The 24,661-nt window shown below is 46.6% G+C and overlaps 1 protein-coding gene across 3 annotated transcripts in view, besides 7 other annotated features; it reads right to left on the reverse strand.

The window, feature by feature from the left end:
- Nucleotides 1,872–2,241: an enhancer, noted in NCBI's record as "active region_10795". NCBI's record gives its function as "activates an Ori minimal core promoter by ATAC-STARR-seq in GM12878 lymphoblastoid cells {active_cell/tissue: GM12878}" and the evidence as "EXISTENCE:reporter gene assay evidence [ECO:0000049][PMID:35858748]".
- Nucleotides 2,272–2,341: an enhancer, noted in NCBI's record as "active region_10796". NCBI's record gives its function as "activates an Ori minimal core promoter by ATAC-STARR-seq in GM12878 lymphoblastoid cells {active_cell/tissue: GM12878}" and the evidence as "EXISTENCE:reporter gene assay evidence [ECO:0000049][PMID:35858748]".
- Nucleotides 3,102–3,171: an enhancer, noted in NCBI's record as "active region_10797". NCBI's record gives its function as "activates an Ori minimal core promoter by ATAC-STARR-seq in GM12878 lymphoblastoid cells {active_cell/tissue: GM12878}" and the evidence as "EXISTENCE:reporter gene assay evidence [ECO:0000049][PMID:35858748]".
- Nucleotides 4,111–4,610: an enhancer, noted in NCBI's record as "H3K4me1 hESC enhancer chr16:48572485-48572984 (GRCh37/hg19 assembly coordinates)". NCBI's record gives its function as "activates a minimal SCP1, AML or CMV promoter by ChIP-STARR-seq in primed H9 embryonic stem cells {active_cell/tissue: H9 hESC(primed)}" and the evidence as "EXISTENCE:reporter gene assay evidence [ECO:0000049][PMID:30033119]".
- N4BP1 (NEDD4 binding protein 1) overlaps nt 4,263–24,661 on the reverse strand; it is a 71,455-nt gene continuing 51,056 nt past the window's right edge. The window contains exons 3-7 of one of the 3 annotated variants that reach the window (NM_153029.4): nt 19,076–19,206; nt 16,923–17,019; nt 13,544–13,651; nt 11,684–11,791; nt 4,263–8,798 (exon numbers count right to left, since the gene is read on the reverse strand). In NM_153029.4, the coding sequence (NP_694574.3) occupies nt 8,441–8,798; nt 11,684–11,791; nt 13,544–13,651; nt 16,923–17,019; nt 19,076–19,206 (802 nt within the window). In that variant the 3' untranslated portion in view covers nt 4,263–8,440. Of the gene's footprint in view, nt 8,799–11,638; nt 11,792–13,543; nt 13,652–16,922; nt 17,020–19,075; nt 19,207–24,661 lie in introns of those variants that run through there. The other 2 variants (XM_011523482.2, XR_007064930.1) reach the window with 2 other exon arrangements.
- Nucleotides 7,158–7,658: an enhancer, noted in NCBI's record as "H3K4me1 hESC enhancer chr16:48575532-48576032 (GRCh37/hg19 assembly coordinates)". NCBI's record gives its function as "activates a minimal SCP1, AML or CMV promoter by ChIP-STARR-seq in naive H9 embryonic stem cells {active_cell/tissue: H9 hESC(naive)}" and the evidence as "EXISTENCE:reporter gene assay evidence [ECO:0000049][PMID:30033119]".
- Nucleotides 7,659–8,159: an enhancer, noted in NCBI's record as "H3K4me1 hESC enhancer chr16:48576033-48576533 (GRCh37/hg19 assembly coordinates)". NCBI's record gives its function as "activates a minimal SCP1, AML or CMV promoter by ChIP-STARR-seq in naive H9 embryonic stem cells {active_cell/tissue: H9 hESC(naive)}" and the evidence as "EXISTENCE:reporter gene assay evidence [ECO:0000049][PMID:30033119]".
- Nucleotides 22,655–22,949: a silencer, noted in NCBI's record as "tiled region #9701; HepG2 Repressive non-DNase unmatched - State 14:Gen5'". NCBI's record gives its function as "represses a minimal TATA promoter and a strong SV40 promoter by Sharpr-MPRA in HepG2 cells {active_cell/tissue: HepG2}" and the evidence as "EXISTENCE:reporter gene assay evidence [ECO:0000049][PMID:27701403]".

The following is a 24,661-nucleotide window of genomic DNA, read 5'->3' on the forward strand; positions in this document are numbered from 1 at the left end:
TAGCTCCCTTCCACCCCATCTATACTTCCAGGCTCTGACTTCCCTGCCCTGTGAGGCTGTCAGCCTCCACAGTGGCCCATCCCAGCAGACATTTAGAATGCAGAAGCTATAAACAGAGGATGGTAGACATCAAGGCATGAATGAATGGCCATCTTCCTTGTGGTCCCTGTGATACCGGGATTCCAAGCCCCAAAGGGGTGGTTTGGGCTGGGGATAGTAATTCTGATAAGCTGGAGTGCTCGAAGGTCTGGGATGGACGCCACCTCCGCAGAGGCCAAATGGTGGACGAGGGCCTCTTCCAGCTATGCCTCGTGCCTTCTTAGAGCCAGAGTTCTCGGAGGGAGGGACCAGGTGACTGGCAGTCCCGCTCCACCGTCCCCACCTCTACGGGTGTGAGATGCTCTGGGTGGTCCTCAAAGCCAGAGTTCCTGGGCTGGGGAGGTGGGGGTTTATTAAAGCTGGGAGTGTCAGACAACTAGAAAAGGCTCACAGGGAAAAGAAACTCATCTTCAGGGGAGGCAGTGGAAAGAACAAATGTGGGAATAAGACCTGGACTCAGTCCTGCCTTACCGAACAGCTGATGGCCATGGGCAACCCAAGCTAGCTGGGCCTCTGTCCACACTGCAACTGTGAAACGAGGGCTCTCCACTGGGTGGCCTCCTCCTTCCCTTCTCAGCGGTGTGGCTGGCCCTGCTGGGCTCTCAGGTCCCTGGTGCCTGTGGGATGGTGACCAGGGTTTGCAGGGAGTGCACAGTGGGGAGGATGAAGGCGCTGCTTTGTGGAAAGAAGCTTGCAAGCTCAATGGGTACCAGCTGCTCTCCTCCCTCTTGTGCAGAAATTGTCCCCACATGTAATTAAGCCAGCTTCTGTCAGGAGGTGAGGACACACAGTGGGGCCAGGTCGGGAGAAACACCTGATGCCAATGCCAGCCCCACTGGTACTCAGGAACCAGGAGGGAGCCGGAGGGGTCCTGGCCTCCCCTGCTCCGTGCCCCACTCTGTGTCCTGCCTCTGTAGGGCCTGGGATTTGAAAACCACCAAAGGTCAGATGAGGCCCTGAGGGACCCTCGCTGGAGCCACATGTATTCTAGGGAACACTCACCGGCCTGGGTGCAAAGGTGCCTTCCTCACCGTGGGACTCAGGATGGGAAGGACTCTCCCAGGAGCCAGGCCCGTTTCTTAGGATTCAGTCCTGGTTGCAACCATTGCAACTACTCTTTAGTAGGGAGGTGTTTCTCAACCATGAGGGCACGCCGGGTCACTTGGGATTACCAGAAAACGTGGATGTCAGATTCTGATCTCTAGGGTCTGGGGTGTGGCCTGGGCAGCGCTGCCCCTGGGGATCCCAGTGCACAGCCAGGGTCACAGACCACCAGCTCTGAGGGCAGCAGCACTAGCCCTTGACAGATGAGGGCCCGAGGCCTTGAGAGGCTGCGTAACTTTCTCAAGGTCACGGAGAATAAGTGCAGGAGCAGGTGATGCCCTCACTCCACGGGCTGGCTGGGCATGAGGCCTTCAGAAGAAGGGCCATTCTGGTTGTTCTCTCCCTTCCCTGGCACTGTCCCCTGCATGAAGTGGCTGCTCAAGACCAGGGATGGAGGAACCCTGGAGGGGCTGGGAAGGTGCAGCATCCGGAGGGGATGAGGGGTTTGGGCCCCACCCCTCACCGGCTGGGCCTCATGTCCCTTAGCCACACAGTGGGAAGAAGTAAGGGTTCCCAGCCCTTCTCAGAGTGGAGGTGTGACATGCCAGGGATCCTGAGGGGCTGGCAAGGGGAGAGGGTCCTGCTGGCATTGAGAGACACCCTGGTTTGGGGGAAGTCCCCTGAGCAAGCCCACGTGCGCAGCTGCTAGGGGCAGGCTGCGGGAGGCCCTCTTCTTCCTGCTGCCTGTTTTGGTGGCTGAAACTTTAGACTGATCCAGGAGCCAGACAGGCGGGCAGACAAGCGCATTCTTTTTGGGGGAGGCCGCCGCCTCCTCTTCTCGCTAGAAGCAGGGAGGAGGGGAGGACAGGGCCTGCCCAGGCCTGACCCCAGACTGGGTTTCAGGCTGTGGGGCCAAGCAGGGCTCCCTGGGGACTCGGGGCTGGGGAAGGAAAGCCCCAAAGGCTGGAGTCTGCGGTTTGGAGTCCTGTGACTCTGGGAGCTGAAGCCACCAGGCAGGAGGGGGTGAAAGGGGGCTGGTTTAAGAAGCCCTAAGCCTCTGGGCTTTTGGCTCCAGCACTGGCTGTGGGTACTTCTGCTCTGTTTCTGGGCAAATCCCTGCCTGCCCAGTCCATTTCCCCAGTGAATGCCCCCAGCCCTGGCATCCTCGGTGTGTAGGGGATTGGAACCTGAGCCGGGAAAAAGGCCACGTACAGTTTCCAATCAACATCAACTCATCTGTGTTTCCCGAAATGAAGTGCAAGGTGGCTCTGATGCATACATGGGCTCACTCCTGACACAGCTTCTGCAGAACTGGTCAACTTCTTTAAAAAAATATGCTCTTGGCATCCTCTCGCAGGAACAGGGCTGGATACGGGCCCACCAAGCAGGAAGTGGGGAGGCAGCTTCCTTCCGCAGCCTCCCTGTGCCCTGAAGACTGACAGCCTTGACCCAGGTCTGTCATGGGCCCTCAATTCTTTTCCTTGAAGGGTGGAGGTATCTTAGGTGCCATACCAGCTGCTGAGTCACCTCTGGTGCAGCTTTGCCTTTCAGGGAGGTGGGATGGCCCATTGGAATTCAAATCCTAAATCCTGGACATCTTAGCTTGAAGAAATGGAAGTTCCTGAGCATCTCTGTACCTCAGTTTCCTCCTCTGCAAAATGGAGATAATAACAGCAGCACTTTAGGAGTGAGGTGAGGATTAAAGGAGACAGAAGCTTGCCGGGCACATGGGTGGTGAGGGCACGACACTGGTTGCCGGCCTCAGCTTTCTCAGCACCCTGCAGGCAGGCAGTGGCTGTGCTCACTTCCTCCGGGTGCTCTCTCTGGTGACGGCACCCGAGGGACTCTCCCAAGTGCCTGCCTTGTTCAAGGAACAATGCCCTCTCTAGAACAGCTGGACTTCCCATGGCCCTGCTGAGGCACTGAAAGAAATGTAGGCCCTAACCTAAGCACCCTCATCATTGGACCACAGGGATAAAGGAGTGCGTTCAGAACCTGGAGGATGACGGCTTAGCACTTGGAGATAAGACCTGGCTGGTGGGGGTGTGGGATGACCTGGAAGGGTGGCGAATAGTTAGGTAGGTGTCCGCAGGGCTGCTGATCAGAGCCCCAGTAGCAGTCACTGAGCGGGGCTCTGGGTTGGGCACAGTTCTAAGCACCACGTTTATTCCTCATGTCACCCTTGAAGTAGAAAGCATTATTATGCCTATTTTACAGGTGAGGAAATCCTCATCTGTAAAATAGGCATAATAAAATAATGCTTAGTTACAGTTCTGAAGTATACAGAAAGTCAAACTCCAAATGAACAGTGCTGGCATTTGCCCAACTAGGGAACTGGGGAAAAGAACTGCCGTCAGGGGACTGAAGAGGCAGTGGGATGGGCACAGAGCCACGGCAGCAGGGAACAGCTCGAGAGCCAGGCCGAGTTCTCTGCTGAGGGGCACCAGGCCTGAGTTTCAAGTTACTCAACTCCGAAATAGTTGGCCCCTTCCAGCATTTTCTGACTGGGGTGGATACTCCTGAAGCCCTGTTTGTGCAGGTCTTTGGACCTTTCTAAACAATCTGCAAATCCTTGCTAAAGACAGTAACACGTGTTACTCAAGACTCGATTTCAAAGGACGTAAATCCAACTGGAATGACCAGCTTAAGCAAAAAGTGTGTTAGAATACTGGGGTGTGGTGACGTCCGAGGAAGGGCTTTCCTGACAACAGGAACCCAAGGCTCATGCTGCCAGGAACCTCTCTCACGTCGCCGCTTCTTTCCTGCCACAGGTCGACTTCCCCCAGGGTGGAAAATGGCTTCTGACAGACCTGGGCCTGGCATCCCACGATTCCCACCACCACAGAGGAACTCCCCAGGAGTGACTTGGACTGGCATAGGTTGGGCCGGCTGTCGGCCCTGGCCAGGAAGCCTGAGTGCATCTAGTATGCAGCCTGCGCCAGGTACCCCTCCCCGGACCTGTGTGCCCAGGATGCCATGTGCTGGAGCCTGGCAGGGGAGGGAGAAGGGAGTGGAGTGACCCCAGCCCCACCCCACTGTCCCACTGCAGGGCAGTGGATTCCCGGCCTCTTACTGGTCCTGCTGCCAGATGCCGCAGTCAAGAAGGCACTGTCCTCCAGTTCAGTTGAGCAGACATTTATTAAGCACCTATCAAGTGCAAGGCACTGTGCTAGGCGCCGTGGGAAATACAGAGAACACAGGCGGTCCCTGCCCACGAGGAGCTCACAGTCTAGAAAGGGCAGCAAGACAGTACACAATCAGTGGCAGCAGCACCAGCCAGAGTGGCAAGTGCTCAAAGCGAGACACAAAGTGCTGTGCGGTCACAACATCATGGGGATGCTTCTGGCAGAAGCACTGGAAAGGAGACGAGGACTCAGGCTGGGCCTTCCAGGAGGGAAGCCATTTGGGAGAAGGGCATCTCTAGCGGAGAGAGGTCCATCTGCAGAGCCCACAGGTCATGGGAAACATGTGGCTGCAGGGAGAGTTTGGGGACAGTCAAGTATGGCTGGGAGGTGGACAGCCACGGACACTAAGCTCAGGAGATGTGAACTTTGTGGTCTGGTCAAACAGCCACTGCAGATCACTTCGCAGGAGGAGGGGTGACTAGAAGTATGTTACTGGAAGGTAAATCTGGCCACACTGCAGCATCTGGACGGCAGAGGGCAGCGCTGGGAGGGGCCAGCCAGTTAGGGCCCACCACCCCTGGGTGTCTGAGAGTGGGAGTAGCGGGCAGGGGCCAGCAAAGCACGAGGGCAGAGCAGGGGACCATACGGAGGGTGGGTGTGGAAGAAGGGAGGGGCCCCATGCAAGCTGCAGGTCTGGGGAGCCTGAGGATGTCATAGGGCTTCCTGGTAGAGTGGAAAGTGCACTCCTGAAGGTCAGGGCCAGTCACTACAGAGAGGGGACAGCGAGGAGAGGGACGGTGTGGCCCTAAGGGTGACTGCAGTTTCTCAACATGTGGTCCGTGGATCACCTGCATGGGAACTGCCTGGGGAATGCGCTCATTTGCAGATTCCCGGGCCTTCCTCCAGAACTACTGGGCAAGCATCTGCCGGGTCATGCCCGGTAACCTACATTCTTAACACCAGCTGCCCTCTCCACCACCACGAGCCCCAAAGGTGGGGAAAAGTCTGCAAGCCACCTGCAGAGGAAGAATAGGGTGTTAAGGACTGGCTTTAGGCAAAAAGAAGAGACAAAAAGAATGAGGGAGGTCTGGGAGTGAGGGAAGTGGTGGGAAGCAGGGAAAGTCCGGTCAAGCCATGTGCACCAAGACAGAGCCCCAGCGCGGCCTTGCAGCCAGGCACCGGGCCGTCCCCAAGGGCTGCTCTCAGTCCGCTTTCACTTGGTGGGCGAAAGCCACATTTGCAAACTGGGAAGTGGAGAGTGGGAGGTGAGGGGAAGCACTAGCAATGAATGAAGAGGATTCTTCCGGGAATCAGGCTGTTTCAATCTAAAACATCCAAGATAAGTGGAAACACTGGGGAGGAAGGTGATGAACAGACGGAGGTGAGCCAGAGACACCTCCTGGGCAAGTCGGCCAGGAGGCGGGAGGCGTGGGTCAGAGACACTGCAGGAACTGGGTGAGGACAAGGAGGTGCGAGGAAAGGGGTTGGGGGATGGTCCCACAGGCAGCCACACCTGAGGCGTGGGAGGCAGGTAGGAGCTGGGGGAGGGCGGGGAGAAGAGGGGTTTCTGTGTGTAGATCTGAGTCCTCCCTCACATCCCAGCCGTGCCACAAGCCGCATCGGCATGAGGCCGGCTCTCCCTTCTTCACTGGTCTCAAAAGCCACCCAGGCCCAAGTCCCGGCCAGACAGCCGAGCCTGCCTAGCAACGCTGACCGGCCGCCCAGGATGGCCCAGACACCTTCTGTCTCCTGAATGCAGCCTACAGGGGTTCAAACAGACTGCTTGCATTAAGGTCAGACAAGGCTCTTTTACTTCCAGAGACAGCGGCCTGGAGCCTCGGGAAGAATGTAGGCCCAGGAATCACCCAGCCCCTCAGGACAACCTCTCTGAGCAACAGACATCCTCCCTGTTGAATGAGAGTGACATCTCTGCCCTGCCACCTACTTTACATGGATGCCACGAAGTGGGAGAGCCTGAGCAGTAGACAGGGAAGAGGCGAGCGGCCCCACTGCAGGAGGTAGACAGGCTACAGATACTTATGCAGCAGCCACACTGAGGCTAGTACTGGAGGAGGCTGAGAACCAGTAATGAGTTCTTAATGGTTTGATAATTTGGGTTTTTAAATATTAAATATTAAATATCAGGGGTTTCGGAAGGAATGATGAATTCCGTCTCATGCTGTAACTGATGAAGGCAACCAATGAGCAATCCTTCCTTCCCATAGCCGAGAAAGGGAAAGGGGACAGGCCAATCCCTCTGAAGCAGTAAGTCAGAACACGAAGACTTACAGAACTCAAACATCAAAGGTCAAGTAGCTTCTAGCCAGGAAAAGTGGTGGCCCCCTCAGCCTAGCCAGCACCAACCAGCATGGGTGGAGACTCAGCCTGGCAGTAAGGGCATTTCCTGGGTTTCCTCTGAAGCAGAGGAGAAATAGTGGGTCAGCCAGGCTGCTGGACTGAACCATGAGCCAGAAGGCCAGAATCACTGCAAGACAGCTCCAGCCCGCACACCTCAGTTGTGCTTTTGAAAACAGGTACAAAGCTGAGGCATGGGAGCTGTGACTGAAGTCGCCCTCCTGGCTGGCCTCGTCTTCTACCTCTGCTTCCACAGCTGGGTGACTTGGCCATAGGCCCAAACAATGGACAACCAGTTCCACATTAGGAGGCATCACGGACGCATCTGAGAGGAAACATGATTGAAGGACAAGCTTGGCCTCATGGAGGGCTCTGGATTCATCCCTTGAAGAACGCAGTGATCAAACAAAACCAAGAAGCAGGCCTGGAGGGAGCACTCTGGGATGCCCCCAAGTCCCCTCACCATTTACAAACCAGCACTGAGTTCTCAGCCTCCGCTCCTCAGGACTAGGAGACAAGATCCGGACAGGCAGGACAGGCAGCAAGCCGACTGTGAGCAGCCTGGGGGCGCAGGTGTAAAATACAAAGCCCTTTGAAGGTCCAGACAATAAGAGTAAAGATGTTAAGATTGCCCAGGAAAAGAACTTCACTGACACTGAATTTGGGCAACACCTAGAACAGACAATATTAAGATATCAATTCTGAGAAAGACTCACAGGAAAGGCTGTTTAGGAGGACACTAGAGACAAACACAGGGAAAATAAATACAGGGGCTCTGGGATCCCCCCACAGAAGCTACTAATGCTATTTATTGGCTTGGGTCACTTTTGAGAATAGAAAACCATTTTTTGGCAAAGCTGTACAAACTCCACATCAGGGCGTCTCCTGCAGTTGGGGACACAAGATGGCCACAGTGACCGGGCTCTTCATTAAACTTCCTCATAACCCGCTACGGTGTTCAGAAGCTAAGACGTGACTTCCAGAGCCAGGCCAGGCATGTGGAGGCCCCTGACTGTGGGCGTGTCAAGCCCTGGCTGGGGAGCCTGCTGCCTGCCCGGCCACTCCTCAGCTGTGGCTGTGGCTGTGGGCATGGCCGGACGGCGTGCACACTGGGCCGTCCCCTTTTGCGCAGGGTGGAAGGGGGAAGGAGGGTGGGACTCCATGGGCTCCACGATGTCTTCTAGCCCTGGTATTCTGTGAGACTAACTTCGCCCTGGTCATTCACCATGGCTAGGCACCAAGTGCCATCTAGTGGCACCGCGGGTCCACTTTCACAACACTCCAACCAAAGACTGCAGAACAAACCAACTCTTACCCACTTTAACTCCGGGGGTGAGGGCAGAGGAGGCTGGAAGGGTGAGCACACTTCATGGTAGTGATGGGACATACTCATCTCAAGAAAATATACTTTAAGACGTCTTGCTTTCCTTAAGAAAGCAACACTTTTTTTTTTATTTATTTATAAAGGCTAACCATATCCATTTGTCAATATTTTCGGCTTTAAGGAAAATAGTTTAAAAAACATAAAAAGGTAAATACACTCAAGAGTAACTGCTATTAAACAGTTCTGAACAGGCAGAAAATGTAGACTTTCCTTTAACAGAAAATGTTAAATCTGTAATAGCAGCATAATTTATATATAGAAAAAAGCTGGTTTTGAAAACCCAGATTTATACCCAAAACATTTTTTTTCTGTACAACTGCGTTTACACTGGGAAATAAGTTTCTTCACATTATGTTCATTCCCATCAGGTACAGGTGTGAGCTTGAGTTTGATCAGCCAGCCCTGAGCGCAAGCTCAGCGCTCAGCACAATCTTCAATCCAACACCATGGCAGAAAGCGCATTTAGATCTTTCATGTATGGGTGGGCCACCAAGATCTGGTCTATTTTCAGTCTTTGCTCTGAGTCAGGGAAGATCTTCAGAAGGGCTTCCCTCAGCTCGTTGGTTTCTGCAGAAGATCTCTGAGCTGGCATGGGCAGGTTCTGCTGGAGACTGGGGAGGGCTGGCAGCAGTGGGAAGTGGGGCTGCTGAGGGAGCCAGTGGCTTGAAGGGGCTCCCTGAATCCGGGTCGGAGGCTGGTGGCTGGTGCTGGCTGCCTGGGTGCCAGGGACTCTGAAGCTGGGGTCAAACATGCCCACATTTGGCAGGGCACTGAGTAGGGGCTGCATATCTCTGTGAATGGAAGTGAGTCCTGGTGAGTTGGGTTATAAGTAAACAAAAAATCATAGAGCTATTTTAGAAGGTACCTGCGGCAGGCCTTGAGGCTCAGGATGCCGCTCCCTGGCTTCCAAAGGCAGGATGCAAGACTGAGGTGGAGATGGTGCCATGAGACACCCACAGAGGAGCCTGCGGGGATTTCACTGACATCACCTCAAGGCGTGCCAGGGAATCAATGCGCTCTATGAGGGAGCACCACCCTCCCAGGTCTTCTGCTGTGAGGACTGACCCCATCCAGCTGTTTGGCTCTAACCAGGGTACCCTTGGGAGCTTTCAAAAGGTTTAACAGTGTCTTACTCTTCTGAAGATTTTGATTTTGTGCAGGACCCTGATTAATAGAAATTAGAAGAGACTCCTTTTGGGGAGAGTGGCAGTCCCCACCGACTCAGTCTAGATGAGGTGTGGGTGGGTGCCCACACTTGTATGCACATGGGTATGTGCGAGTATGTGTGTACAGGGAGGGCATCTGTATCGCTCAAAAGCCTCCCACTGGACTCGGCCTGCAGGCGAGAAATGAGGCTAGCTGAAGTTTCCCCAACTTCAAAAGCTCAACTAACTTCAACAGCCCCTCTGTGATGGAAGTGATTCCCAACTTCTTAACCGATTTCTGAGCCGCTCCACAAAGAGCCACCAAGTGAGAGTGAAAAGGCAGGCAGGACAGACCCCGTGCCAGGTTGCTCAAGGAGCAGGAGCAAGCAGAGGACTCTCCTTCTGGTAACTCTGACCCGCGGACCTGATTGATGCTCTGACACAGGCCTCGGGCCTGAAGCCCAGCAGGGGATTTCCAAGTTCAGATGTGGGGAAGCAAAATGAGATGGACTGATGAGCACAGCAGGTGTGGAAAATGGCTGCCATTCTCTTCATGTGGGTAGAAAAGCATGGCATTTGGGAATTAAGTCCTCGTCTGTGTCATAAAACCCAAAGGCTCAAAAGAGAAATGATTCACAAGACCAGGGAGTTGAAATTGTAGTGGTCTCCTAGGTAGAAGAGACCACCATGTAAAAAAAGAAACCCATCACCACCTACCACTGAATCCAAACCTACAGCTCCCAGTGGTTCCTGTTGCAAATGGAAAAGATCAGCTGGAAAGTGTGACTGCCTAAAAATGCTGAGAGAGCTGTGTGTCTTCCTCTCAGCTTAGACCCCCCATCACACCCCCATGCAAATACCAGCTGGGAATGCACAGAAGTGCAGCCTGGTTTAGTTTTTAAAAAGAGTAAACATCAGTCATGGGGTCATATGATCTCCCTGTTAGGTTCACAGGAATCTTTAGTTAATGTCTGTTACCTAAGAATTATGAAAACAGAAACAACCACTAACAAGGTGTCCTAAAAACAAAACAAACCCCAACTACAACAAAGAAAACCTAAACTACCAAATCATTTTCAGATAAATATTGAATACTGGCTTTTCCATTCAGTGAAGGTAGAAAGTAATGGTCAGTTCCCCCAGGCAGTGATTCCTAAGCAGTAAGGAAATTAATATAAGCATAACATGTTCAAAGCAAATGACTTTAGAAAGTGAATGTAAAAAGACACTCACACATACAAAATGACCCCATCAGGCACTCGTGATTCAGAGGGAGAGCTCTCACACATACATGATGAACCTAAGTAGTATTCGCCAGTAAGTGACCACCAGCTTGGAAAACTAGCTTTGTTTTTTTGTTTGTTTTTGAGACAGAGTCTTGCTCTGTAACCCAGGCTGGAGTGTAGTGGCACGATCTCGGCTCACTGCAACCTCCGCCTCCCAGGTTCAAGTGATTCTCCTGCCTCAGCCTCCCAAGCAGCTGGGATTACAGGCACGCACCACCACACCCAGCTAATTTTTGCATTTTTAGTAGAGCCAGGGTTTCACCATGTTGGCCAGGATGGTCTCGAACTCCTGACCTCAAGTTATCTACCTGCCTCGGCCTCACAAAGTGCTGGGATTACAGGCGTGAGCCACCAAACCCGGCTTTGTCTTTTTAAACCTACAAAAAGGCTGGGCGCAGTGGCTCACGCCTGTAATCCCAGCACTTTAGGAGGCCGAAGCGGGTGGATCACCTGAGGTCAGGAGTTCGAGACCAGCCTGGCTAACATGGCAAAATCCCGTTTCTGCTAAAAAAAAAAAATACAAAAAATTAGCCAGGCATGGTGGCGTGCACCTGTAATCCCAGCTACTTGGGAGGCTGAGGCAGGAGAATTACTTGAACCTGGGAGGCGGAGGTTGCAGTGAGCCAAGATCGCGCCATTGTACTCCAACCTGGGCAACAAGAGTGAAATTCCATCTCAAAAAAAATAAATCAATAAAAATAAACCCACAAAAAAAGTTTGGCTCCTGTCTTTTCCTAGGATGAAAACTGAAAGGACTATAGTTGAAAATCCGGGATGCTTGCTACATTAGCTTCCAAATATATGAAACCAGCACTAAATTTAAGGCTTAAAAAAAAAATTTTGGCCAGGCATGGTGGCTCATGCCTATAATCCCAACACTTTGGGAGGCTGAGGAAGGCGGATTCCTTGAGCTCAGGAGTTTCAGACCAGCCTGGGCAACATGGTAAGACCCTGTCTCTACTAAAAATACAAAAAAAGAGCTGGGCATGGTGGTATGCGCCTGTGGTCCCAGCTCCTCGGGAGGCTAAGGTGGGAGGATCGCTGAAGCCCAGTGGGGCAAAGGTTGCAGTGAGCCGAAATCACGCCACTGCATTCCAGCCTCGGTGACAGAGGAAGACCTTGTCTCAAAAAAAAAAAAAATAATTTTTTTAATGTCATTTTTAGTCTATAAAGACAGCACTTGCACTAAAGCACAAAGAATTGAAATAGAAGTTTTAATACAAGACAATCTGAAAAAGGAAATACCTAAGACAGACTTCCTTCTGAAGAAACTCCTCTAATCGAGGTCCACTTCTTCCCAGAGGATCATCGGGAACCATAAATATGTCCCCCACGAACGTGTACTGCAGCAGCCTACAACACAGAACACCATGAGGCTGAGAGACAGGGTCCTCACTGCCCAGGGCCTGCGTAAGGATCCCAAAGCAGCCACCTGATGCCAAAGCAACGGTCAGGTCAGCCTACAAATCCTAAGACTGCTCAACTGCCTAAAAGCGGGGAAAACACCCAAGTCAAACCCTTTTAATTTCTGTTTTGGACACAAAAACAATAGTCAGAACGTTTTATCAGCTGGCCCTCAAATTTCTCATTAAGACTTGCAGATTTGTACTGGGCTTAGGAAGCCGCTTCTTCTTCTAATATAACTTTCAATATAACTTTGAAAAATAAGATTTAAAGACTGTCAGCTTAGGACACAAATGCTGAACAAATGTTTAATTTTTGAATAAAACTGGTAATAAATGTGTCCATAAGCAAATCCACTGAAAATAATATTTTTAAAAAGGAAAACCATATATGAATAAAGGAAATCTGAGGTCTTTAGACCACTATTTATCATATCAGGGGAAAACAGAAAATAAAATAATTTTTAAAAGTCCAAGTGCCTGTGCTTGTTGTCCAGGTCTCCTTTCTACCTTGTTTTTGTGAATGCTGAAAGCAACAGCTTGGCTGGAGAACACCAGTCTTGACTGCATTTAAACCCTCCATGCATACATGGATGAGTGTCAATAAATACTGACAATGAGCCCAGGCAGAGGTCCAACAGAAACATGCCCTACAAGATTAGTAGCTCATTAACTGTGCCCAGAAGGTCAAAGACCAATTCTTGGTTCAGCTATCAACAACAGCTTTTTAACAGCATAGGTGTCAAAATGCATACAGTAATTAACTCTCACCTGGGCATTCATAACACAGAATCTTTTTCTAAAATCTTCTAATAATTTAGGAAAATATAAATAACAGGCAAGGTGCAACTGTGAAATCCCAACAGGGATAAATATCTAGTTATGCTAACTATATTGCAAGTTTTACTATATATTAGTTATACTTAGTGTGGGGCATGCTTACTTTATGTTTTAAGATTTCTGGTCTATATCACTTGTCCCTGGCACTATCAGACTCTTGCTTTCTATTTTAAATAACTGGTCAGGTGATACTGGTTAACCAAAAGTCCTAGAAGCCAGTGCCCACTGATCTTAGGGCATTTTTCAGCAGTGGACACATTCATAGTATTATTACAAATGAAAAACAGCAGTGAATGCTAAACTCTTGACATAACTTTGTTTTATTTTGGATGATATCTAAAGATGTTTTCAATATAGATTATTAAACTATGACTGTAAAAACCTCCAGAAAAGCATCAGATATTAAAAAGTGGAAATATTCTCTCCAGACCATGAAGAAGTGAAAGCCCAGTCAGCACACATTGCTTTCGGTCCTTTCCTCTTGCTGGAATCCCAGTTGTCATCAAGTTCACCCTTTCACTTCACAGCTGAGTAAAATAGGAGGCCGTTTGTGCTCCATCACACTTAACTGTACCTCCTGCTTCATGCAACAAAACTCTGATGCCCTAGAAGACTGCAGTGACAGCAGAGCATGCCCACACTCATCACTGCCAGCTCTGCTGCTCTGTGCTGGGCCCCCGCTTACCTGGAGGGGCCAGCCACCTATGAAGTGGGAGTGCAGCACAGTCTTATGATACTTTGGTCCCCTATATTGCCTTCTGTGGAGCCAAGGAATATAGAAAACAAAACGAACAAAATGCACACAGAAACAAACAATTAAAAACAAAACTTTTCTGACCAAAGACAAAGAAGAAAATATTACCTTTTTGTAATAATTTCTCTCCAAGAGACTGACTCATTCACAAATTCTCTGAAATTATCATTTGTCACAATTATGCCACCAGTTTTGTCCGCTAAGTGTAGTAGAAACCTATGGTAATATAAGAGAGTTTAAAATCAGCAACAGGCATCCTTGGCTCAGAGAAGCCATGTTATAAGAAGAGAATATTTCCTCTTCATAGGAAAACCATCAAAGAATTTAACCAAGGCTAGGCCACAGAAAAGTTTAGCCCCTATCAACTGAAGATCAATCAGAATGGTGAATATCTCTAAAATTATTAGCGTGATTACAAAATAGATTGTCTTTCATACAATTTCTTTTGTTAAATGATCTCAACTATAATTTATTCAAAAGTTGTATTATCAATAAACAGTGTTAATAAGAATGCATGAAGACCAGAGCAGAGAATGAGAGCTGACAAGCCTGTGAAATCATTATTCAGATTTAAGTTACTGAGCAACAGTATTTTGGTTCTAAGATTAGCTGTTTAGTACAATCAGCCTTACAATTCTTTTTCCTTTTTAAAAATTCATAGGTTCAAGCCGAGTGTGGTGGCTCACGCCTGTAATCCCAACACTTTGGGAGGTTGAGGTGGGCGGATCATTCAAGCCCAGGAGTTTGAGACCAGTCTGGGCAACATGGTGAAACCCCGTCTCTACAAAAAAATACAAAAAATTAGCCGGGTGTTCCCTGTAGTCCCAGCTACTCAGGAGGCTGAGGTGGAGGATCAGCTGAGCCCAGGCAGGTGGAGGGTGCAGTGAGCCAAGATCGTGCCACTACATTCCAGCCTGGACAACAGAACGAGACTGCTTCAAAAAAAAAAAAAAAAAAAAATTCATAGGTTCACACTGCTCTGATTTAAAAAGAGGTATCTAGAATTGCCATTTTGTTTAGACTAAGTTATAGATTCACTCAAATGGAAGATATGACAGGATACATGGTGATAAAAAAGGGAAAGGATGAAGCAGTAAAGAAGACTTCCATTTCACTGCTGATTATTCATGCTTAGACCCTCTTAATAAGAAATCTGTGAGGATGTGAATTTTATCCCTTAAATTAGGGTGACCACATTTGTCTAAGGCAATGTAGACAAAGATAATAAAAAATAAATTAAGGGACTCACTGGAATTAAAGGTAAAGACAACTGCTTTTACTAGCAGTGATGAGTACTTAATGGGGATTTAAAAAACCTCATTAGTTTCAGAGATCTTAGAAAACCTTGGAAAATAAATATGATTTAGTTCTTTGGCTTTATTAAATAACATTTTACAAATGATTTCTAACTGGTGTGAGTTGTAAGTGGTAATGTTTGCCCAGAAGTATTAACAAAAATAGGCAGTAAGGCTTCTGAGTTCATGTACCATGAATGAGAACATATATGCATGTTCTCTAAAAACCCAAAAAGCCGTATCAGCCAAGCAAGAGCTTAGTCTGCATACTTGTACGTGTGTTCCAACGCTGCTGGTGTTAGAATGAAGCTGCTGTGTTAAAGGACCTGAGCCCTGCAGGGTCCCTGCCCGTGTCACAGAGCTGAGCAGAAGTGTCCTTCCATTCCGCCTTCTAGTACTTCTCACCTATCCCCCCCGGCACCCACATATGGTATCCTCTTTCGGCTCTTCCATGCCACCTGAGTCTCACCCATCAGATCTGGTCTTGCATACCAGCCTGGTGCAGGGCAAGGGACTGTCAATGAGAAGGCCCTTTTGGTGAATGAATATATGTCTGCTGTGGTCCCAAGCCCCCCATCCCTCTGCCCAGGCCCTCTTTTCATCTCTTACCCATTTGACTATCATTCACTAGCTTGGGTCACAAGCTAAACACTATCTTCAATGGAGTGGTGTTTTGGTGGAACACAGGCGAAAACACCAGGGTTGTTGTTAGTGCTATAAGCCAGATGAAAATAAACAGGGCAAATGCAGGGGAGAAAAGAATAAACAGCTACCACTAGGCTACCAAATACTAGTAGACTTGCTACTAATTTCATACCATGAGGAGGATTTTAAAAACTGGTCCTATTTCCATTGGTTAAGTTTAGAACCTTCTCTTATTCAACCACAGCAAAACTCCCTTCTGTTACTTATGCACACGTCTTCTCAAAATTCTTTAGGGCAGAAGGTGCATCTGAATCATGCATGTCCCCAGAACCTACCTCGGTGTATCAGATTTGGTTAGTGCTCAATAAAGTTTTTAGAAAAAATTTAAAAAGGGCCAGGTGCAGTGACTCATGCCTGTAATCCCAGCACTTTGGGAGGCCGAGACGGGTGGATCATCTGAGGTCAGGAGTTTGAGACCAGCCTTACCAACATAGTGAAACCCTATCTCTACTAAAAATACAAAAATTAGCCAGGCCTGTGGTGGTACATGCCTGTAATCCCAGCTACTTGGGAAGCTGAGACAGGAGAACGGCTAGAACCTGAGAGGCGGAGGTTGCAATGAGCCAAGATTGTACCATTGCACTCCAGCCTGGGTGACACAGTGAAACTCTATCTCAAAAACAAAACAAAATATTTAAAAGGTACAGACTAAATCTTGGTGACTCAGATGCACTAGTACCTGCTTCCTGAGTTATATGCCAAGCTAAGAAATGCAGGCTTATAGGCCGGGTGTGGTGGCTCACACCTGTAATCTCAGCACTTTGGGAGGCCAAGGTGGGCAGATCACCTGAGGTCAGGAGTTCAAGACCACCCTGGCCAACATGGAAAAACCCCGTCTCACTGCAACCTGCTAAACTAAAAATACAAAAATTAGCCGGGCATGGTGGTGCTTGCCTGTAATCCCAGCTACTTGGGAGGCTGAGGCAGGAGAATCGCTTGAACCCAGGAGGCAGAGGTTGCAGTGAGCTGAGATTGCGCCACTGCACTCCAGTCTGCGTTGACAGAGTAAGACTCCATCTCAAGAAAAAAAAAAAAGAAAGAAAAGAAATGCAGCTTACTCCTATCACAGTAGGGTCAGTTCAGACACTTCTATTATGTAGAAGAAACCCTGAGGACCCAGGCATTACAATAACAGGCTAAGTCACTGACCAAAAGTAGACTGAGAGGAGATAATATTTGAAACCATTTTCAAGCCTGCCACACTAAGACAAGACAAACATTACTTTTAGCACCTACCAACCAGACTACAATATCTGCTTTTACTTATAGATTTTCAGCCATGTTTTACTAAAACACAAAGAGTTTCTTCTGTGGTGTTTCTAAAAACTATGTAGCAAATATCACTGAGCATATCACCTTAATGACCATAAATATTAAACCCACTGCATCAAGCAGGTCCTCTAAAAGTGTGGACCTGTCCAGCAGAGCAGGTGGCTGGCTCCTCACCACCCCACTCCAACCTTAGGAAGGAGAATGGCCTTTCATACCTGTCATCATGAGAAGCAATTCTTTCTCCAAAGACCATCCGGGCAGGAGTTAAAGATAATATTCCGAGCTCCTGGAGCTGGGTTAAGAAGTGCTGTTCTGTTCATGGAATAAGTTGAATATACATTCAGAAAAGGGCTATCTTCCCAAATGTATCAAGAAATGAAAGTACACTCAAATGTTTCACTTGGAGAGCTGTAGAAAACCTTTTTTCTATTGACTCAATTTTACTAACTCACTAGGAATTAAAAAAAAAACAAGCAAGACCCATACTAAGGCAAAAACAACATATGAACTAACTTCAGTTATTTTTTAAACATAAGATTAAACTCATTTGCTTCTCAAGAATAGTAGGCCAGGCACAGTGGCTCACGCCTGTAATCCCAGCACTTTGGGAGGCTGAGGCAGGTGGATTACTTAAGGTCAGGAGTTCAAGACCAGACTGGCCAACATGATGAAACCCTGTCTCTACTAAAAATACAAAATTAGCCAGGTGTGGTGGCGCGTGCCTGTAATCCCAGTTACTCAGGAGGCTGAGGCAGGAGAATCGCTTGAACCCAGGAGGCAGAGGTTGCAGAGAGCTGAGACGGCACTGCTGCACTCCAGCCTGGGTATTTAATGAAGCCTACCATCAAAAACTCTTTCAGAGCTATACTACAAGAAGTAGAGGACAAAGAGAGGGATGATAAGAGACCCTGAGAGAGGGTAGGGGTGAGGCTAGGGCAGATCTAGGGATAGGAGGGGCAAATGGTTCTACCACAAGAAAGATCCCTATGCCAAGAGTCTGTTGAAGCCTCCTCCTACTGGCCTCCTATCTAAATTCTCAAAGGTGTCCATACAAATATTTGCCAGTTTTCATGGGGGTGGGTGATGACAGTGGAGAATGGAGGGTCAAAGCTACATTTTAGAAAACCAGTAATGGGAAAAAGCAGCTAAAAGCTCAGGGCCTGAGATTCCCACACCTGCATTCCCTACAATGGTACTCACCACTGACTTAAGCAATGCAGAGCACATAAGCACTAAGAGACTCCTTCGGCAGGGCGTGGTGGCTCCTGCCTGTAATCCCAGCACTTTGGGAGGGTGAGGTGGGTGGATAACAAGGTCAGGAGTTCGAGACCAGCCTGGTCAATATGATGAAACCCCGTTTCTACTAAAAATACAAAAATTAGCCGGGCGTGGTGGTGCGTGCCTGCAGTCCCAGCTACTCGGGAGGCTGAAGCAGAAGAATCACTTGAACCCAGGAGGCAGAGGTTGCAGTGAGCCGAGATCATGCCGCTGCACTCCAGCCTGAGCGACAGAGCGAGACTCCGTCTCAGAAAAAAAAAAAAAAAAAAAAAAAAAAAAAAAAAAAAAAAGACTCCTTCAGGGATCCAATTGCAAAAATAACAAAATGAGTGTATCTGCTTCATTCCTTATGTACCCTCTGTTAAGATGAATATGCTCTTCAAAATGGGGGAAGTTGGGAATACTTGGGAACTGTGTGGTTTGACCATTTCTGCCCCACTAGTGACTAAACTTCACTTCCTGTTTAATGTGCTGGGCAAGTCCTGTACTGACCCTCCTTCCCCACAATCTACTTTATTTTTCCAGGCCCTCTGATGTGTTAAGTTGCCTGGCACAGCCCCTTCACCTATCTTCCTATCATGACCTATGACACAAACAACCTGAAGTTTCTCTAGAACATTTCATGATTCATAATAAGTTCAAATCTTTCGTGTGTGGCCTGCAAGTCAGCCAGAGTACTTTATGGTTAACGGAAATGATTTATATTAAGCCTTAAATAGACTGTTAAAAAGACGTAACTTGAAGGGGCCAAATTTATGAAGTGACTTCAAAAATACTATCTAAACAGTCAGAAATCCAGCCTAATAAAAAGACATTTTTTAGAAAGTAAAAAGAAAACGTGATATATAATGAACTCTTAATATAACTTCCTGTATAAATAACTATGTTAACTTTCCATCCTACCTCCTAGTATTTGTGATGCTGTGGCACTCTCTTCAATTGATGTTTTGCTAGGTGCAGTAGATTTACAATTTTATTTTTAAAGCCGCTGCCTATGGCACACAGCTCTATTCTAAATAGCATGTGTTGCAATTATAAGCCAACTCATTAAACATTTCACTAGAAATCTGAAAAAATCAGTTTGCCTCACCTGTGACATTAGGATCACGCCTTGTTCTCCACTGAGGGACAAATACAGTGATGTTTCTGTTGCCAAGCTTCCAAAAATATTCAACTGCAATTGCAATTCCACGACAAGAAAAGAACTTTTTCAGACCATGGCTAGAAATTACAAAGTAAAGAAAATAAGTAAAGTTTATTTCTGTTTAAAGCACAGTAAGTTTCACCATGAAAAGTTAACATACACATACAACAAACAGTAAGAACAAAGTTTCCTTTAATATTCTTACATTTTTGGCATTTAGTTGCACAAAGTTAGGATGGAACCCACTGTAGGGGACAGAACTCTTAATAGTGTCTTAGGATTTTTCTCACATTTTGTTAATCTAACTGGGTGTGTTGTTATGATAGAAAGCAGTGAGCTCCATGGTAATACTTGTTCCCTGTGACAGAAGAAAGGGACAAAGATGTGACATGGTCATAACCCCTGCAACCTCCGAAGATGCTGCTGTGTCCTGTCCCAGGAGGGCTCCACTCTTTTTAGGGAATGGCTATATTTACCCAGTTTACAGCTTACGAGAAACACGTTGAGGGCAAGACTCAAATGAAACTAATGGGGGGCCGTGAAAGGCTATTTTAAGAATGCAGAAAGCAGGGAAAAAAGGTAAAAAAAAAAAAAAATTAAAAGAACAGCAACAACAACAACAACAATGAACAGTAGAGAACACAGGTTAGCACACTTTTTCTGTTAAGAGCCACACAGTCTCTGTCATACCACCCAACTCTGAATGTGAAAACAGCCACAGATAACTGTAAGTGAATGTGTGCGGCTATGTTCCACATTTACAAAAACAGGTGGGCGGGCCTGATTTGGCCCATAGTTTACAATCCTTGGTATAGAGGATTAAAAAATGCCCACCCCTCCATCCATAACACATTTCAACGGAAAGGAAGAAAGTACTTAAATTTTACTCTCCAGCAGTTAATTAAACGTGGAGATAAAAAAGTGTTAAAAGTTTAAAATTCTGCAGGTGGTAATTTGTCTACTCATGGGTATTAGAAAGAAAAAAAGACTAAAATCTCAAACTGTGATGCTGTAGTTTATGAGATTAGCATAATCTATGTTCACTGCTTCAATGGTCACTTAGATTCCAGCGACAATACTCCCTGCATCTTCAGTCCTATCTTCTCTCCATGTCTAATGCTGCATGCCAAAACTGCTCTGTAGAAATACTTCACTTGAAAGTCCTGCCATGATGGGCATATGTGTCCCGAGTTAAACCCAGGCTCTCCTAATTCCAACCTACCCTGCAAATTCCAGTGAAACTAACTTTTAAATGCAGCCCAAGGCCTTTGATTCTGCTCAGGGCCTTCAAAGGCACTGTCCTACACTAATCCTGCCTGGCTTCCAGGACCCCTCCTCGTCTGACTCGTCAGAAAGGATCTGGCCAAGTGACCCTCCCACTACCATGAGACAACCCTCTTGGTTTTGGCCAGGTCTTGCTATCTCACCCCTCCCGGTCTCTGAGCCTTTCCTTATGTTGCTTTCTATATGTGTGATGCTCTTGCACCTTTCCTTGCTCCTTCTTCAAATGCCCTCAGGACTGAATGGGCTGAATTCTGGCCCGTCTTCTTCTATGAAGTTATTTCTAGACACAGGGCCTCTCTCAGCCTCCTTCCTCTTCTGAGTTCCAATCCTGTATGGTGCACGAGAATCACAGAGATAGAATGGCATTATGCCTGTTAGAAAAAGGAGTCACTAGGGAAAGAGCAGCCTGCCTGGGTTGCAGAGCCAGGGGGATGAGCTGGATCATACTCCGGCTTCCTCACGCCTGCCCTTTCCACGACCCCACAGTGGGACTGTCACCCCACCTGCATGTGCGTTCCTTGAGAGCAGGAAGAGGCTGGACACTTCACGAACATCTAATGCTCTGTGAGATTCACAAGAGCTACGCACAGACTCCTCTTTTTAAAGGCTATTTCTTTTTCAGTGAACCATAAATAAGATATTTCAGAGGCTCTTACCCCAGAAAATATATGTAAATAAACACACGCAATCTTGATAATTCAGGAGTGCTTTGTTTATCTAAAGGCATTCAAATATGGCAAGAAGGTAACAAAGTGACATTTTTAACTAGAAAAAAGACTGGGGGTGGTTCTTTAAAGGGGGCCTCTTTTAATCTTCCAAAAACAATAAATCATCCATCACTCTAATTGCTTAACAGCAGGGACATGCCCAGAGTTAACATCAACCACAGCCCTAATTTGAAAATCCACAACAGAACAACCTGCTGGTTCTTAGAAAAACCAAGAAATATGTATATTTAGTCCTCAAAAGGATAACCCTTGAGATAACTGCACTGAAAAGGTTTTTAAGGTGGCTCCCTGATTACTTTGACAGATACAAATGTGTGCTACCTACTCTCCCTCTTTTCCTTAAAGCTTCTAGTGATGGCAAGAGGAGGAACTGGATAGAGGAGGAGTACCCAGTTCAATTCCACTGGGTCACTATGTAACAAGGAAGGAAATGCAGACCGATGAATTCTGCTGCCCTGGACTCCTTACAAGTCTAGAGGGGGAACAGATGGAGGTTCTAGAAACATCAGCTCTCAACTAAATTCCAAAGTGTTATTCTCAGTAATAAGATCATATCACTTTTGATACTCTAAAAAAATCTCAGGAATGGAATTAAAATAGAGGTTCAAAATTCTGGTGGAGAACATACAAATTTACCCAAAAAATAAAACTACAATGACAAAAAATTAAGTGAAGCCAAATTATTGTCCTCAAAATAATACAGAGGGTCGATTAAGGACCCTTCTTCCTACTTCAAGTCCTATACCCTGAGCAGGCAGACATGTGCTTACTCATCACTGTCTCCTAGCCTCTCTGCAATCAAACCAGAGTAGCATGTTGACAGGTAAACCCAGACCAAAGGTCTATTTCGACCCAAAGTATATATATAATAACACCTTGCTACTTATGGGAAGGCCAAAGCTCTGGGGCTCCCAGTTCCAAATGCAGAATGAACAGTTATCAAGTCTGGGAGGCCAGGTGTCCAGGCCCTCAAGACATTTAAATGCCTGCTTCCATATAATTGGTTAAAGGTTATATCATCTGGTTGTTTGCCATATTATAGAATGCTGGCAACTAAAAGAAAGTGTCCAAAGTGGAGGAGAGATGGGTGACACACAGCTGATAAAAACTCATGGCAGCCATAGCACCAGACAGGGCAGTGTGGGGACAATGGAAAGTCCTTTCTGAGTTACCCAGGAAAAAGCGATTTCTTTTTATGGAACCCTAATATGGAAAAGACTAGTATGGAAAAAAAAATGGCTAAAATACTTAATTCTGGCAAGGGAAGGGGCAAACCCCATCTACATGGAAAACTATCACCCCATATGTCAGGGGCTCTCATGCTGAAGTTTCAGGCTGACAGAGCCCAAATGTTTCTTGGCCACTACTGTGCTGTCTAGCCATACACCACAAACAATTTCCACTTACTCATCATTTGACTCATTCATGGTGACAAGGGGGCAAGAACAAGGTATACAAAATTGGCAGCATTAAACAGGGTACTGTGGAGGTTTTCATGGTGGTATGGGCTGCAGACCTCATTCTGGATAGGCAAATGAACAAAGGCTTTACAAAAATACATCGAAGGGTGGGCCTAGGCTGCTTTAGGGTGGGGCTCACACCAACAGATCCTATTGCTTAAGGACCAAATAAGTACTTCCCCAACTACTTGGGTCAAATCAGTGAGCTTTAGTCAGCAGTGCTATGCAACCCAAGACTTAAGTATCCAATGATGCGTTGGCCTGAAAATTCCAACCTTAACTTCTGCTGGAGGAGAGAGGGTATACAGCAGCTCTGGGGAAAGACATTATGGGCCCAAATCTCTATCCATGTAACCCTGGAAAACATTTTTAAGCCACTTCATGTTGTATAAATTATAACTTTTGACTCACAATTGGTGTGAAGGTTGCATTTTTAAAAATACAGTGCCTGACACATAATAATGGGTGATTCGGCTTTAAAATCTCAAATATTTGTTGCATTAAATATATGGCCTCAGTTAAAAATCTAAACTGGCCACTGGAATAGTAACCATGAAGTTACAAATAGGTAGTAAAAAGCCACTAAAAAAATCCTAAACTGGGCATGGTAAGGCATGCCTATAGCCTCAGCTACTAGGAAAGATTGCCTGAGCCCAAAAGTTTGAGTCCAGCCTGGGCAAAATAGTGAGACTTTACCTCTTAAAAAAAGAAAAATTCTAATTTGCCTTTAATTCATCAACAAGTTTTTACTGAGCTCCTACTATGTGTCAGGGACTATGGGTATTAGAGGTAGTTCACTGAACAGAAGAAACACAAATCAGTTTCTTCATGGAATCTAGTCAAAGTTTATTCACACTTAACATTGAAGCAACTGATTTAAAATAAGGGCTGATTTTTTTCCAACTTCCAAAAAAAATTGAGGTAAAATTCACACGACTAAAATAATCAATTCAATGGCATTTACTACGTTCGCAATGCCGTGCAACCACCACTTACATCTAGTTCCAAAATGTTTGTCACTCCAAAATAAAACTCTATACCCATTACGCAGTTTCTTCCTAGAATATGGGTAAATCTTAATTACTGATATTTTCAGATCAATTTACATCAAATTAAGTACAAGTCTGTCTTCTTAAAGTAACACATTCTCTTGTAAAAGTATTGCCTTTAAACAGAGACATCTGTGAATCCAAAGAAAATGTAAATCCTCCCAAAACAATCAGTTTTCCAAAAAAAAAAAAAAAAGAAGAAATAAAAAAAGAAAGCTTGCAGCTTTCCCTTAGTGTAATAATTGGTGGTTTTCAAAAGAGATGATACTGTACTCAGGGCATTAGGAAATATGTAGGAGTGTGTTTGAGGTGTCACAACGACTGGGGAAGGATATTATAAGCAAAGTGGGAGGGACTAGATTTGCAAAACATCCTGTCACGGATAGGCAGCACCACTCTAAATTCCAACAGTGACCCTGCTGAGAAATATGCCTGTTAACTACCCCAAAAGGTTTATAAAAAGCATCAGGATCGCTGCTCATTCTACGTTAACCTTGCATTTCTTATTTGGAAAATCCTTCCACATATAGAAAAGTGAAAGAGGATGAGAATTGCTCACAATTGTGACCTAAATTTTGTGTCACGAGTTGGCTCAAGAAATCGTAACAATGAAGAACTTGTTCCGGGCTTGGGGTGTGGGTGACTGAAGTGACATTTTTGCTTAGATATCGCTATGCAGCTGCGGATCATTTGCTGGGTTTCCCCTAACAGGGCTGCCAAAAAAACCAAAGTGAAATGACAATAAACAGTATTATTTGGAAATGAAGATAAGCATATTGCATATTTTTGCTGCCTGTCTTCAAACTTTAACATCTGAAATGATGACATTTTCTTTTTGACAGCAAAACACAGCTTCGATAATTCATTCAAATAATAAAAAGCAGAAGAATCCTTATATTTTAAAAAATACATATTAAAATATTTATGACCATATATCTGAGATTTCCTTCAAAATAATAGGGGTGGAAAGAAGAAGTAAGGGCTAGGATGAAACAAGACTGATCACGAGCT

This window comes from Homo sapiens, chromosome 16 (assembly GCF_000001405.40).
Source record: "Homo sapiens chromosome 16, GRCh38.p14 Primary Assembly".
NCBI lineage: Eukaryota > Metazoa > Chordata > Mammalia > Primates > Hominidae > Homo > Homo sapiens.